The 15,612-nt window shown below is 39.1% G+C and overlaps 1 long non-coding RNA gene across 4 annotated transcripts in view; it reads left to right on the top strand.

Annotated features, from left to right (window-relative positions):
- Nucleotides 1–7,428: 7,428 nt before the first annotated feature.
- Nucleotides 7,429–15,612, top strand: part of LOC105370507 (uncharacterized) — a 144,575-nt gene continuing 136,391 nt past the window's right edge. For 3 of the 4 annotated variants that reach the window (XR_943883.3, XR_943882.3, XR_943884.2), the window contains exons 1-4: nt 7,429–7,653; nt 8,347–8,455; nt 10,453–10,697; nt 11,772–11,856. This is a non-coding gene — a long non-coding RNA (uncharacterized LOC105370507). Of the gene's footprint in view, nt 7,654–8,346; nt 8,456–10,452; nt 10,698–11,140; nt 11,189–11,771; nt 11,857–15,612 lie in introns of those variants that run through there. The other variant, XR_001750980.2, reaches the window with a different exon arrangement.

The raw sequence follows: 15,612 nt of genomic DNA, 5'->3' as shown, positions 1-15,612 counted from the left end.
CATTTTCCTTGCTCAGATGAATGAATTGGATTGGGGGTCTTCCATAAAATGCCTGACAGTCACTTAGGGTCTGCATCGAAATCTGAAAAAATTTGGCTGAACACCAATTAGGAATTGCTGGGGATCTTAGACACATTACTGTACACCTGTCAAAAACTTTACTTTTCTTTTTGAGTTGGAGTCTTGCTTGTCCCCCAGGCTGAAGTGCAGTGGTGCGATCTCTGCTCACTGCAAGCTCCGCCTCCTGGGTTGACGCCATTCTCCTGCCTCAGCCTCCTGAGTAGCTGGGACTACAGGCCCCTGCCACCACGCTCGGCTAATTTTTTGTATTTTTTAGTAGAGATGGGGTTTCACCGTGTTAGCCAGGATGGTCTCGATCTCCTGACTTTGTGATCCGCCCGCCTTGGCCTGCCACAGTGCTGGGATTATAGGTGTGAGCCACCGTGCCCAGCCCTGTCAAAGACTTTTCTTGAGGTAGTTTGGGGGATTTCCCTGGGGAAAGTATTAATATTGACCCACTCTGACTACTAGTACATATACTACTCTCTTCTTTAGTAACAAGGTTGTAAGTTTCCCACAAGGACAAGACTTTTATGTTGAAGCAGTACTGGGACTTCTAAGGAGTGCAAAATGTAATAGTTCTTTAATTGGGTAAGTTACAACATCATCTATGGTTTTTCTTTTTTTTTTTTTTTTTTTTAGCAACTCATGAGCAGATATTCGCCCCATATTACAGACGGGGGAAAAAAGACTTGCACAAGCTCAAAATGTGCGAGCTGGAATTACCATGAAAACCTTGGCATATAGCTATTGTTTGAGGCCATTGTCTTGGCAGGATTCCTTTGGGAAATGTAGCAGGCACTATAATTTTAAGCCAAAACAATGTGAATTCTAATTTGTTCCTTCTCATTAAAAAAAATGAATGTGGAAAGGAACACTTCTGATAAGCAATGAGACAAAATATAATATCAGGTGAGGGGATGAAATGCAGAAAAACCAAAACCATTTAGTAAATGGATTGAAGCTAGCCAGAATTTCACTACATTTTAAAACGTAAGCCCAATATAACACAAAGGAATATGTGTCTTACTATGTCTTTAGTAAAGGCCATTTAACACTGGGAATCTTTCCAACAGTGTATTTCAATAACAGTAACCCTTCTTACAACATTTGGGGCATGCCACTTTGAAAGTCGATACTGTTCAGTGTCTACTGAAATTGCTCATTTGTTCTCTCTAAGCTGTATATAAGGATGATCATATAAATTATCTTCCACACTGGGACATTTTTGAGAGTGAAAGGAAATGCCATTAATAGTTGTGCCAGGACAATAGGCATAAATTGAAACTATCCTGGGAAAACTTGAGAGAAAGATACAGAAACTGACAATTATAGAAATATAGATTCTTGCAGTGTATTTAGAGAAATTGTTATTTTATATATTTATGTGTATGTATTTATATAGCCTTAAAAGAATAGTAACCAAATTATTTAACTTATTGTGGTGATGGAATTGAGCTGAATCATCTACACACTCTCAACTAGTCCCTCTGTAACTTAGACCTTGCATCTGTAGGTCTACTGCATACATTCACCCACTCCAATGCAAAGATCATAGCAGGCCTACCCAGAGATTGAACCCACAATCTTGCTTTCATCAGTTTTTTTTGTAATCAGTTTTAGGTCCTGTAGGACCCTATCAGTGGGCTACATGCTAGACTGTAAGATCAAAGTAAAAACACAGAGGGTTCTGAGCTTTTCTGTAAGGCCCCGGTTTCTAGTCCTGTCTTTATCAGTAACTAACTGTGATTTTTGGCAAGTCACGTACACTCTCTGTGTTTTTGTTTCCTTATCTCTAAAATGGGAGTAATGCTATCTGATGTGCAGACCTCAAAGCTTTGTTGGGAGGATGCAGTGAGGTGATATATGGGGAAGCCTTCTGGAAAGTGCTATACATACGTGAAATGTTATCATAGGAAAGAAGGGGTGACATGAGATGTGAGGGGAAAACAGGGCTTTCAAATCTAGCAGGCCTTGTAGATTAGGCTTGTGCAAACAAATGATGAAAATAAAGACAGGGAGAGGCATTATACTCTATTTTATTAATAAGAATGGGGAGATTGAGAAAAGTGAGAACAGGGAGTGTAGCCAGCAAGCACTAGGTAGATAGAGTGGGACAGCATCTCTACTTTCTTCCTATGTCACTATTTTCTTTAAAGTCTGGAAAGACCTCATTAAAAATGAACATGTTGGAGAAGTACTCATGTTAGACTCTGAATTTCTAGGCTGTGGGGATATACTAACTCACTCTGATTGAGAGGATTGCCTTTATTTTGCAATCCAGTAGGAATTAGAATACCATACCTGCCTTCCTTGTTGAAATTTTGTCAAGATTAAACAAAATAATTTATGTCAAATTGTTTTTGATGAACTGCATGATAAACTATAAATTACAGTACAAAATAATAACAATATGGTGACTATACCATAATATGGGTGACTACACCATAACTACTGATGTTAGTTATTATTATAGTAAGAGTTATGTTTTTTCTTCAAAATGATTACTGTATACATTCTTTAAATTACAAAAATCAAATGTGCTACAAAAATTTAGATACACCAAAAGGTATAATGAAGAAAATAAAAATCAAACATAATCCTGTTACCAAGAGATAAGAATTAACAATATTTTGGTGAATGATCATCCAGACTTTTTTGTTTTTTGTGAATAATTAAAAAAAATCAAAATAGAATTGTTAATTTTTCGGTCATTCTTTAAGTTGTTCACATTTATGTATTAATAGATAGAATGCTAATCATGTAGTTTATAATTTCCTCAGGGAATTCAAACAGATGATTACTATATAAAATGGAGAATGCCATGATGGGGAAGCAGTGGGTGCTTGGGAGCACTTAGGAGGAGCTCCTCTCCTAGGCTTAGGGAATCAAGGGAAACTTCCTAGAGGAAGGGACCTGTAAGTTGAGACCTGAAAGATGACTAAAGGTAACTAGACTGTAGTGGATGTTGTGGTGTACCACCATATACCTCTTTAAGGACTGGGCCACTTATCCCCCAGGTGGCAGTAGTCTTGCCTTTGATGGCTCTTAGCTGAAGTCCTATCCAGGAATTGCCTTCTGCTGAAGGAGGCTGCCTTGCTCAAGGTTATCTCATCTCCAGGGACAGGCGGGGTAAAAGGGCCACCTCCTTGCCTCAATTAGGACAATTCTGAAGGGCCATCCTAGTTCCAAAGCTCCTCACATGTTCGGCTGAGGCCTCAGTTGCACCTCCATGGCAGTTTAACTTTTCCCTCTGCCTAATCCTGCTTCCCTTCTTCTTTACAGATGTTGTTCTCAAGAGTACTGCTCAACAAAAATCCTGCACACAAATAAGCCCTCTCCTCAACATAGGAAAAGAATGGTAATTATGGTGAGGATGCAGGGAGTATGTTACTAAAAGATGAAATGGCTTGTTCAAGGCCTAGAGGTGTTGCGGGGCGGGAGAGAAAGGATTTTTACGAAGTCTGGAATGTGTAATTGAAGTCAGTGGAGGAGGGACGTGATTCCAGAAAGAGGATCAAGTTCTTGTAATCCATGTTATGGAGATGGGGAATTTGGACTTTAAAGTAAGACCAATGGGAAACGCTTAAAGGTTGTACATCATGGAAGAAACATGATCTGATTTGTGCTTTAGAAGGATCATTTTGGCTGCTCTGTGGTGCCATTAATGAAAACTCTTGTTATCATGATCACTGTATTTTTTATTAGAATATTGGAGTGTCTCATGATTCCTTCTGCATGTCATACCTTTATAGAATGTATGGCAAACTGCAACGCCCCCAGGCAAGTCATGTAATAAACACAAGTATTGCAGCAGTATTGTGAAAAGTCAAACTCTGAAGGGATTCAATCACAGTGCTTCAGTCTTTTTTTTTTTTTTTTTAACTTGGTTTATACTGTTTTAAGTATTTGTTGAGCACTAACTACTTGCCAGAATGCACTGTGCTATTGCTATGGAGGATTCAAGACAAAAGCTCCAAGAAGAATGCCATGCCTGTCTTTTCCATTGCTTTACCCACTGTAGTGCCTGACAAACAGTGAGGGCTTAATAAATGAATAAACAAAGGAGGAGTCTCAGAAACATGGGCAAATTACTTAGTCCTCATGATCACACAATGGATAGTAGTGGTGTCTACCTATTCAGGTTGTTGTGAGGGATAAGTGAGATAATGTAGATAAAACACTTAGTTCACAGGCTTAATATTTAGCAAAAATCATATTTACTGAAATCATTCAAGGACTGTTTGTTATTCTCAGTATTCATAGAAATAAGTTAAGACCTTAAATGATTACAACTAAACTTCTGAGGTCAATTTCTCTTTTGTCGTCTTCACCCTGTAATATCACTTCAAAAAAAATGTGATTTGAAACCAGGTTAAAAGATTCATTCACTCATTACTTTATTCAACGAATTGGTTTTGAGGCATCCGAAGTGCCAGATATAGGTTATACAGTGTATACAGAATAGACACCATCCTTGTTCTCCTGGAGCTTATAGTCTAGAAGGGAGATGTTAAAAGAAAATCTCATAAATTATACGAACCAAAACAGTCTGCCATGAGAGAAAATAATAGAAAGAAGCTAATTTTGATCTGGGAATCAGGTAAGGCCTCTCTGAAGAAGTGACCTTTGATCTGAGAACTAAGAGTAGGAGTTTCATTAAGAATAGGGATGGCCGGGCGCGGTGGCTCACGCCTGTAACCCCAGCACTTTGGGAGGCCGAGGCGGGCGGATCACGAGGTCAGGAGATCGAGACCATCCCGGCTAAAACGGTGAAACCCCGTCTCTACTAAAAATACAAAAAATTAGCCGGGCTTAGTGGTGGGCGCCTGTAGTCCCAGCTACTTGGGAGGCTGAGGCAGGAGAATGGCGTGAACCCGGGAGGCGGAGCTTGCAGTGAGCCGAGATCCCGCCACTGCACTCCAGCCTGGGCGACAGAGCGAGACTCCGTCTCAAAAAAAAAAAAAAAAAAAAAAAAAAAAGAATAGGGATAAAGCACTCCATGCAGAGGGAAAACCCTGTGCATAGACCATGGGGTAGAAAAAATGCTTGGCCCATTAAAAGGACAGAGAAAAAGCCAGTGTGTCATAGTGGAGAAAGATGAAGCTGGAAAGAAGGCAGGAAAAGATCTTCCAGGGCTTTTGTTGCCACATGGTCTTCCTTTATCCAGACTAAAAGGATACACAAACTGACTAAAATCTGACTGCTCTCTATATCAGAGTAAGTTCTTGATGCCTGTTAAATAGGAGGACAGGTAAACTGCAGTCTGAACAGTCACATCTAAATCTTGGGAAAAACTGGCTATTTTTTTCCCCATGTGGTCACCACAATGCATGAAAAAGCATATAGCAAAGGTGCTTAGTTGTTTGATGAGAGAACTAATATATTTGCAGAAATATATTGCATATCGTTCTACCTACATTTCTACCCCTGAATAAAGTGGGAACTTTTCGAAAGTCTTTTTCTGCTTCCCTCCTGCCCAACCCCCTTTTTTCTTGCATTTCTTTCAGCAGAAACAATCAATGGGAGTAGGGGACAATTTAGAATCAAGATGCTGCGGTGGTTTCCTAGGAAACTCAAGAGAATTTTGGGTGCCATAAGTGTTTGGGTAGTGGCTTGCATAATGGATTTACTTAGAGAGGCCTCCATTTCCCTCTCAATGATTAGAACAACCTGTGTTCTGGAATACAGTATTTAAACAGTGAGATTGGCATTGCTGTCTTCCAGGATGGTGAAGGTTTAATTAACATTTGAAAATGCTTTGAGATCTTTGGATAAAAGTATTCTGGAAACATGAAGTGTTATTATCTTTGGAGTGATATAGGTCACGTGACACAGGAAGTGGCTTTGAAGGAAAGGAAAACCTTTCATCAGGCAAACTCCTTAGGGTGGTTTGAGCATGTTTTGAGTGACTCAGCATGCCCGTGTCATCTCTCCCTAGACTGTGAATGAAAGGAATAACTTGGCCTACAGCTTAGCAAATGCCACCATCATTAACTGAAAAATTTAGTAAGCTTGTATATTAAACACTCTACAAATTATGCAGAATCCTAAAGTATTTAGCGCAGTTGTCCCTTAATAAGCATTGAATAAATATTAGCTGTTACTATTATTGTTATTAGCGGTTACTGTTATTATAATATTAACTGTTACTACTATTGTTATAGTTGAAGACATCTGGACTTTTCTCTGAATTTAATGCCCTTTAACCAAAGAACTTAGTATTCTTCAGTGGTAAACCAACTTTACTTTCATTTTCAAGACTTGGTAAAGAGCAAAATAAATGTAAACTGTTGCTACAGAGACCCTAATGTGAGGGCTACAGATAAGGCATGTTTAGTGTCTGGAACCCTTCCTGGAAGGTTGGGTACTTAGTTTTTCCCTTTCCCAAGAAAAAGAACCCAAAACAGAAATTAGGTTTCCTAACTTTAGTTCCTTGATGAATCCCCAGGGTCTTAGTAGACAGGATTTCAAAGAGAACACTTTAAACTAGTTCCAATTTATTTAAGAGTAGAAGTGCAGAAGGATTTCATCCTGTTCCTTCTATTAACTTACGTGTCTTCGTAATACTGCCTGGAAATGTAGAAGACAGGGCAGGGGTGGGGAGTGGAGAATAGGAATATGGTTCATTTGAAAAAAGTTTATTTTTGAGGAATATATATATCAAACCAAACCTGTCCATGTGTATTTGTGAAATTAATTTTACCAGCTAGAAGACCTGGGGGCTTTATAAATACACAAATTTGCCTCAAATAATACATATATATATATACACACACACACACACACACACACACACACACACACACACACACACGTATTTATGTATTTTTTACTAAGAAAAACTGGTGGGTGCGGTGGCTCACGCCTGTAATCCCAGCACTTTGGGAGGCCGAGGCGGGCGGATCACTAGGTCAGGAGTTCTAGACCAGCCTGGCCAATATGGTGAAACCCCATCTCTACTGAAAATACAAAAATCGGCTGGGCATAGTGGCGGACACCTGTAGTCCCAGCTACTTGGGAGGCTGAGGCAGGAGAATCTCTTGAACCAGGGAGGCAGAGATTGCAGTGAGCCGAGATCGCGCCACTGCACTCCAGCTTGGGCGACAGAGCGAGACTCCGTCTCAAAAAAAAAAAAAATAAAAAAAAATTAAAAAGAAAAACTGCTTTGGTAGAACATGGCACACAAGGGAAGGAGGGGAGGGAATTAAGAAAAGGGTGTCTGCAAGAGGCTAACGGGTCTAGGGCACAGGAGAGGCCGGCGGGGCATGCTGGGAAGGCAGCTGCCCGGAGCATGCCGGGATCGAGGTTGTCTGGGGCATGCTGGGAAGGCTCTCAGGACTGTTTATCCCGCTCCTGAGGCTGGGGAGGTACCCCCAGGCGCAGGCACACAGTATAGTGGGGTCAAGCATCTAGCTGACCTAATTAAAAGCTCATTACACTAGCCCATCCCCATTAACAGGCTGACCCACGTGCAAATCCATTAACGCAGGATTCTTCCCTGCTTCCCAAATCAGGAATCCCAGCCGCAGCCCCGGGGCCTGGAAACTCCGGCCAGTTTATTAAAGTGCCTTCCCCGCCTGTGACCATCAGGTACGGTTTCTTTCTGGATTATTTCACATTCCAGTAAATTAGTTTTATCCGCTCTGAAACATTTTAACAAAGCTCTCTGGTCATCACATGAGTAAAATAACAAGGGATAAAAGAACATGTACTTCACCTAATCAGAAACAAATAACTTTAAATCTCCCTTCAAAATTCAGCCTTTCCTGTCCCGCCACCCTTTTCATTTATCTTAACACTGGTGGGATTTTGAAATTTTCGTCCTAGAGTCAGACTATGGTACAGGTCCTTCTTTCCTTGTTTTTTACATAATTGTTGCCGACCTTCACAGAAGACCTCAAAACTTGTTAAGTATAAAGTTGGTAAATGATACTATTGTTTGGGAGGTGGAGGTGGGGGTGAGGTTGGGGGTGGGGGTGGGGTGGGAGCAGGGGGTTTATCTAGGAAAAAAAAGGAAAATGCACCCTAACCAAGCTCAAATTAACTGAAATGGATCAAAGTAAACAGAGACATCTAAAAGCTTTTGTAAGTTAAAAGTGGCTATCTGTTGCAGGTCTTGCCTCATTAACTGCTGATTGAAGCTCTGCTTGGCCCTCTGGGATACCTAACACCCCAGGGCCTATCACCAGATGAACCCGGCTTAGGCGCTCTTGCCTTTCCCTATGTTGCTTTGCACAGCTCCTTGACCTCAACCTTCTTACAAATGTTTATCCTTCCTACCAGGCAAAGGGAGAATCTTGCTGGGAATCTCGCTTCTAGCCAATGAGGAATTTTCAGAAAAGCGAAATGGAATGCATCATTTTGACATCTCTGCAGATCTGTATTCCGAAAGGTAGATGCTCAGCTGTGGTGTTTTAAATAAGCCTCTGCACAACATTATGTAGGAGAAAGAGTCCACATTTTGTTTTTCCCTGGGTGTTGCCTCATTTTCATATGTGAATGGTGAAAGGTGATGATTAGACCATGTGCTTTAAGATATAGCTATCTCTTGGCCCCCATGGTCCCAGCCAGTCACCAGGCCATTCAGCTGGGACAGGGAGCTGAAAATGAGAGGTTGTCTAGGGAAGGCAGAGAGAATGGTAGTAGGGGAGATCTGGGGGAGGAGGGGAGGGAGGAGCAGCGCTCTTTGAGTAGGACCAGATAGGTCTCTGTGTAGAGTAATATTACAGCTCTTTCTCTCATAAACAAGCTGCATGCCTGCTTCTAAAGACCCATCTGGCATAGCTTTGAGAATGGCAATAATTACAAGCTGATGATGGACATGGAAAAAAAGCCCCGCTGAGCTAACTCATAAGGAAGTACAGGCCAGGACTGCAGGGAAATTACAGGCTGAAAACCTTTCTAGTTTAGGCCTTTTGGTGTTCTTAATCACAGACTTTAAATGTTGTAATAAACACTGTTGCATTTTATTGACCAACTCCCATGACAGGCAAATCTTTTTCATTTTATTTTATTTTTACCATTTGCTCTTTGGAAAGCTGTTCGGTAGTATCTGCCTGGGCCATGCCAATGGGTCTTTTGCTTTTCTGCTCATAGAAAAATTAGGAAAACGAGTGACTTTTTATTTAGTTCCCAGAATTTTGCAATTTTTTTTTCTAAATTGTTCTCTCATTCTGTGGTTCAGACGGACTTCCAGGCTCTGTGCTTAACCTATAGCTATGTAAGATAATGGTCTGGTAGTTTCAGTCAAGAAGATTGAAGAGGCTTAAAAAAAAAGAAAAAGCCAACTTGGGAAGATTAATCTATGATTCTATTCTGTATCATCAAATAGTGTTTATGATACAGGAACAAATAAAAATCCAAGTTAAATACTATATTGTTAGATTAATGGAATGCTAAGTCCTGGCCTTGTTTTAGAGATACATAATCCTTATTTCAAGGATGGATTTTATATTGGAAGGATGATCCTTTTCAAAGTTTTGGAGCCTAATATTTTACAAGTAGGCCTAAGACATTTTGTCCTCTCAAACATTTTAGATCATTTAATGGAGCAAATACTTTTAGGAGATTATCCTAAGAAGAAGAAAATGGAAACACTGGAAAAGAATTTACTCCCCTGAATCATTATTAACCTCAAAATCCATAGCTTAAATGTCATAACAAAGGAAGTCTTGAATATAGCATATTACTCGTTGCTGTTATGAGTGTTTCATACTATAATGTGGAATTTATTCTAATTCAACGTATGCTATCAGTCTCCATGAAAAGAATTTGATATTCATTTTATACATTTTAAAAGTTTGAGGTTAGATATAATGAAGAATCACATGGATTAGGATTTTTACTGAACCTATTATACAAGTGTATCTTTGTTCAAAATATACCTTTTTGGATTTTAAAGCAGAGCATGTAAATTTCATTATTCTTTAAAGCACTAGATACTGCTTTTGGAACTTATTTTCAAGTCTTCCCTTCTGTGCCACGATTTCTTATTCATATTCCTTAAAGACTTGTATTTTATTCTTTGTGTTTTGTATACAGTCCTCGCTATCCCAGATGGATTATTTAGTTCTATCCTTTGCATTTGATTACTTGTTCAAGCACATAAAGTTTTGGGGTCTATGAAGTTAAAGTAATGAAATGGTTGCACAATGGAAATTTACCAATGTAAACTTAGTCTCTTGTCCTTTCATAAGCATTGCTTTACCTGAAGCTCCCTTGTCAATGAGAAATTATTTCCTTATATCTGTCTTTTTTCCTATACAGGCTAGAATTGTTCCTAACAAAAGAAGCATGAATTGGTGAAAACTATATATTAAATGCAAGACTATTTGTCTAGTTTTCATTAGGTTGCTGAGTGAAAAGCCTCAATTCCTCTCTTTTCCCAAGGTACTCAGATATCCACGAAGTCCTCCTCATCTCACACCATCGTTTCTCTCACTGGGCACAATCCAGCTTTAAAGAATTCAACACTTACTGGTCTTCAGAGGACTGTCAGCAATGACAGCAACCAGGGATGCTGACATGTCTTGTTGTTTACAAAGGATGAGCACAAGGCCTTTTGGATAACCTGATAAGCCCTGCAACTCCTCTCTCCCTGTTCCTCACCTCTCTGGACCAGCTGCCTTTGTGTGGTGAGCTAAAGATGCAAATATTAAAACTTGATCTAAACACCGACAAGTCAGCAAACAGCAGCAAAGATAAAATAAGGCTGCTCAAGGATATTGTGTAAATCGTGAAAATAGTAACAAGAATATTTCTGTCCCCAAATCCTTATATGAAAATCATTTTTATATACTTAAAATTGGATGGAAAAAATCCTAGAATAGCATTAAATTCATATATTATTATTATGGCCTTGAATATTTAATCTTTGTTTCTCACATTAGCATCCCTCCACTTCTCTAGAAAACCCAACCAATTTGTAGTTAAATTAAGTACAAAGGTTTTTTTTTTTTTTTTTAAGTATTCCAAATATACTGTTTCCTATTTAGGGAGTCCAGAAATGTCTTGGAAATTATGCAAATGCACACGCCTTTCCTCATTCCTACTTAGTAAAGTGGAAATTTCTTTTCAGGAAGGGAATCCTGGGAAGTTGGACCTCCTTTCTCCTTTTCCTTTTGCTGCCTTTCAGTGTTGAATACATGGAAGGAAGGAAAGTATTTGGTTCAATGCTTTTCTTAAATGATATATGAATAAATTATAACTCCACCAATGCATAGGGTTTAGCGGTATTGTCTTCCTTAAAATCTTTGTAATTGATTGAGACAGTACTGTTTATCTTCTAAAGGTGTCAGACTATTCCTAGAAATGAGCTCTTCAAGGTATATATACAAAAGATTTTTATAGTAGGCTTTTTTCCTCCTGTGGTATCTTTCTTGTAGAAATGTGATTGCTGAAAATGTGTGTGCCACAGTCAATGAAGTGCCTTTTTAAATATTAGCAACTTAAAGCCCACATCAATCATGAAACTAAAGTTTGACGTTGACAATTACAGAAAGGGATTTCATTTTGATTATGAAACAGAATCTTTCTGAGAATTGGTCACTTCTGACAATCTGGTCCACTCTTTCTGAAGAGTTTTCATGAGAAATATGCCTCATCTTTACCACAGTGTCTGCCTGTAGAATTAGCTCCATTTCTAAATCACTGCTTCATAGCTATTCAGTCTCAGATCGCTAATAAAAATGGTTATTCCCTTTTCACAGGTGGCAAAACTGAGATTTTGGGATCCATGCAGCTCTATGGAATATATTATGGGTGAATTTTGAACCCAGGTCTATGTGCTTCCAGGTAAGTTTTCCATTTTGCCACTCTCTCCTGTGAGCCTAGTCTTAAGGTGAAGTCCTAACTGGGACACTGAGGACAGAAGGGCCCATTGATTGAGACTCTCTGACTGCGAGAAACAGTGGAATGCAAAATAGCATGCTCACAGCTATTTTCAAGCAATAGCACCATCTAAAACCACTTGGAATGAAGAGACCTATGTGGCTAAGAACTGATGCAAAGGAAGAATATTCACTCTGGGTCAGTGTTTGAGCCTATAGAATTAGCTAATATTGTTGATTTTGCTGCCTCTCTGATATGTTGGAGGCAATTTCCATCCCCCTAAACACGTTAAATGCATTTTGTGATTTTAACAGGCTAAAGTGTTAACTCTTGTTTAAATATCTATATTTAGCATTACTTATAGAACTAACACAAGTACATTCTCTTCCATACAGAGCGATTAACTTTTTCAGAAAATTATTCAAATAATTCATTGGACCATTATGTTAGGGATGCTTACTCATCAATTCCAGATAGAGTTGATAAAGATTTGTGCCCATATGGGATGCACTCTGTAGAGTATCCACATATAGATTGGACCTACTAGTGCTACCTCTAGCAAAATGAGAATGTTACCGGTAATCATCACACAAAGGATGTCATGGTAAATCAAGGCTCAGAAAATTATATGCTACCTAAGGGATGTGGCATTGTGCTTCTACCTTGTTTCTTCTCAAGCCCAGTTACATCAGTTTCTTCTTGTTTCTTCTTTAGTCTGGCTGTGGCATTCAGATATTTGTTCAGCTCCAGGTTTTGTTTATTTCTGGTTTTTGTTTGATTCTGGCTTGAGCTTGTGGGGAGTAATTGTGTAGTTTAAGGTCCTTCTGCTTCTAGCTCATCTTGAATCCATGTGTCATTTTCATGACTGGGTTTTTTTTTATTTCTCAAATAAATGCATTGGTCTGCCTGCCTGGCTTTTGCACATTTCAGGCTTCCATCTGCAAAGAAAAGAGACCATGAGATCTGCTAACATGCAAAAAGAAGATAAAAGCATTTTTAAAAAATGTCTTCCTGCACACAGGCCTGCTTTATAATAAACCAGAACAGTGCAGGAATTAAGATGTTGTTGAAATGCCCAAGTGTTTCTGCCCTTTTATTATGTCCAGGGTGATGAGGTCATGGCTTACTGTTTAGCTTATGTGGTACAATTAAGAGATTCATTTCTTAATGTGATTCATCTCAGGAAGAGTTGACTCAGAAAAGTTTTAGGGGAGAGGCAAGACTTGTATGAGGAGATTTTGAAAAATTGTGCTTTTCTTCTGGAAGTTTGAGTTCATTTTTTATTCCAGGTAAGAATGAGGAGAACTGCAATGAGTCTGTCTCAGATTTCTGAGTGACAGGGAGCTGTTGTTGATTGTTTTTGGAGACAGGATCTCACCCTGTTGCACAGACTGGAGTGTGGTGCTACGATCATGGCTCAGTGCAACCTTGACCTCCTGGGCTCAAAAGATTCTCCCACCTCAGCCTCCCCAGTAACTGGGACCACAGACAAGTGCCACCATGCCCTTCTATTTTTAAAAAATTATTTGTAGACACAGGGTCTCGTTATGTTGCTCAGGTTAGTGGAATTTGATTACTTAATGCTAATAAGGCTAAAGAGGTGGTTTTGGTTTTGGCTTTTTTTCCCCCTTTGGAATTACGGCAAAAAGGTGAACTAAATATTTATTTTACTAAGACATCATTATATCTCTGTGTGTAGACATGTTTAAATGAAATAGTTTCTCAGATATATAATAATATCTGGCCAGGTGTGATAGTTCATGCCTGTAATCCCAGCACTTTGGGAGACTGTGGTGGGAGGATCACTTGAGGTCAGGAATTTGAGACCAGCCTGGGCAACATAACGAGACCTTGTCACTACAAAAAATAAAAAAACTTAGCTGGACATGGCAGTGCACACCTGTAGTCCCAGACACTTGAGAGGCTGAGGTGGGACAATTGCTTGAGCCCAGGTGTTGGAGGCTGCAATAAGCTATCATTGCACAGGTGCACTACAGCCTAGGTGACAGAGCAAGACCCTGTTTCAAAAAAAAAAATATATATATATATATATATTTATGCAACTATATGGTATATATAATCTTTATATTTTGTATATACAGTTTTTTTATTGTGTTGTTTATCTGTCAGTCCCTGATTGAGTTCTTTCAAATACAGCATTTACCTTCCTACTGCTGAAAAAGAGGTAGTTTCTCCATTTAGTTAGAGTGGCAGTTCTCAATCACAGTCAACCCCTTCACAAGTATGTGCCATGACAAAAATGTTGATAAGTAATGGATCAGGCCATCTGTATTAATTTATAAAATATTTATTCATGGGCCTCTGGGCAGCATTTACTCAAATTCGTTCCTTCCCTGTGAGTTGTCCTTGATTATGATTCTCAGCTTGGTCTTCCATCCAGTCAACTTTTAGTGAAAATTCCTAATTTGTGTACTGGTCAGTTTAATATAACAAATGTTTATAAAATGCCTGTGCTGTTTAAGGCACCATGCTGGGTACTTGGGATCATTTTTGGAGGGATTAACTACTCTCTCTGTCCTTTAGAAGGAGATGGAAAATTCTGCCATAATGAATGTAAGTCAGATTGGGATAAACATGGTAAAAAGGGGTAAACACAGTGTCATATGTTCCCTGAGGAGAGGACAATTTATTTTGCCTAGGAATCCAGTAAGGTTTCCTAGAGATGGTGACATTTGAATTAGTCCTTAAAGGAGAAACAAGATTTTGAATAGGCAAAGATGGAGGAAATGTGCTAAGTTCCAGAAGAGTGAAAGCCCATAATACAATCAAGGAAAGGAGAGAGGTCTGTTTCTACTTGAGCATTAGCTGTGTGCGAGGTGTGTATGAGGAGCAAATGACAGGTGAGTTTCAAAGAATAGAGTATTTTCAGTTCCTGAGGAACACTGAACATTATGCTAAGAAATTTGGACTTTATTAATAAAAAAACCCAGAAAGCTGGTAAAAGTGTTTGGAGTGAGGAGGTGCCCATGATTATAACTGACTTTAGAAAGGTAACTGTTCAGGATGTTAAAGATAACTTGGGGTAGAGACAAAGCAAGTGGAGACAGGGATCCATTGGCAGGCTATTGTAATAATCCAGGTATAGGTGAAGTGACGTAGGACAGTGATAATAAAAGCAGAAATGAGAGACATTCTGAGTCTAGAACTGGATGTGGTGGGATTCAGAGGTGATTTACAGATGACTCTGAAGTTTGTAGTTCAGGTGGTTAGCAAAAGAAGAAACCATGAACTGAGAGAAAGAACTTTAAGAGAAGAAGGTTTGAAGGAGAAAACAATGATTGTGTAAATTGACATTTATAATACACTATGATTATACATACCATTTCTTTCTTCTTTTGAACTAGATTGTTACAGCCATTCTTTTTTGGATTCCATTGTTAGAATTATACTCTATTTTCCTTTAAATGTAGGACCCTGACACTTTCTGATTCCTCAGAGGGGAAGAAAAGGTATATCTGCTCTCTACTACTTATGAATGCATTCCTATTTACCATAATCTCAATGTGTCTGTGAGGAGTATCTTGAGCCTTACTCAAGGTGAACTCTTTGACCTAACTCCCCTTTCTCTGGCCATGCTCCTATGGATGAGACAATTAGAAATCCTCACTAATGCTTATAGGATTCTCAGAGTTAGACAGAACTGGCCTTTATAAAGGTAAATTGGAGCCAAAGTGGATTCTTGGATCATGTATCTCCTCC

Source organism: Homo sapiens, chromosome 14 (assembly GCF_000001405.40).
Source record: "Homo sapiens chromosome 14, GRCh38.p14 Primary Assembly".
Taxonomy (NCBI): domain Eukaryota; kingdom Metazoa; phylum Chordata; class Mammalia; order Primates; family Hominidae; genus Homo; species Homo sapiens.
This window is presented reverse-complemented; position numbering and strand designations above follow the sequence as displayed.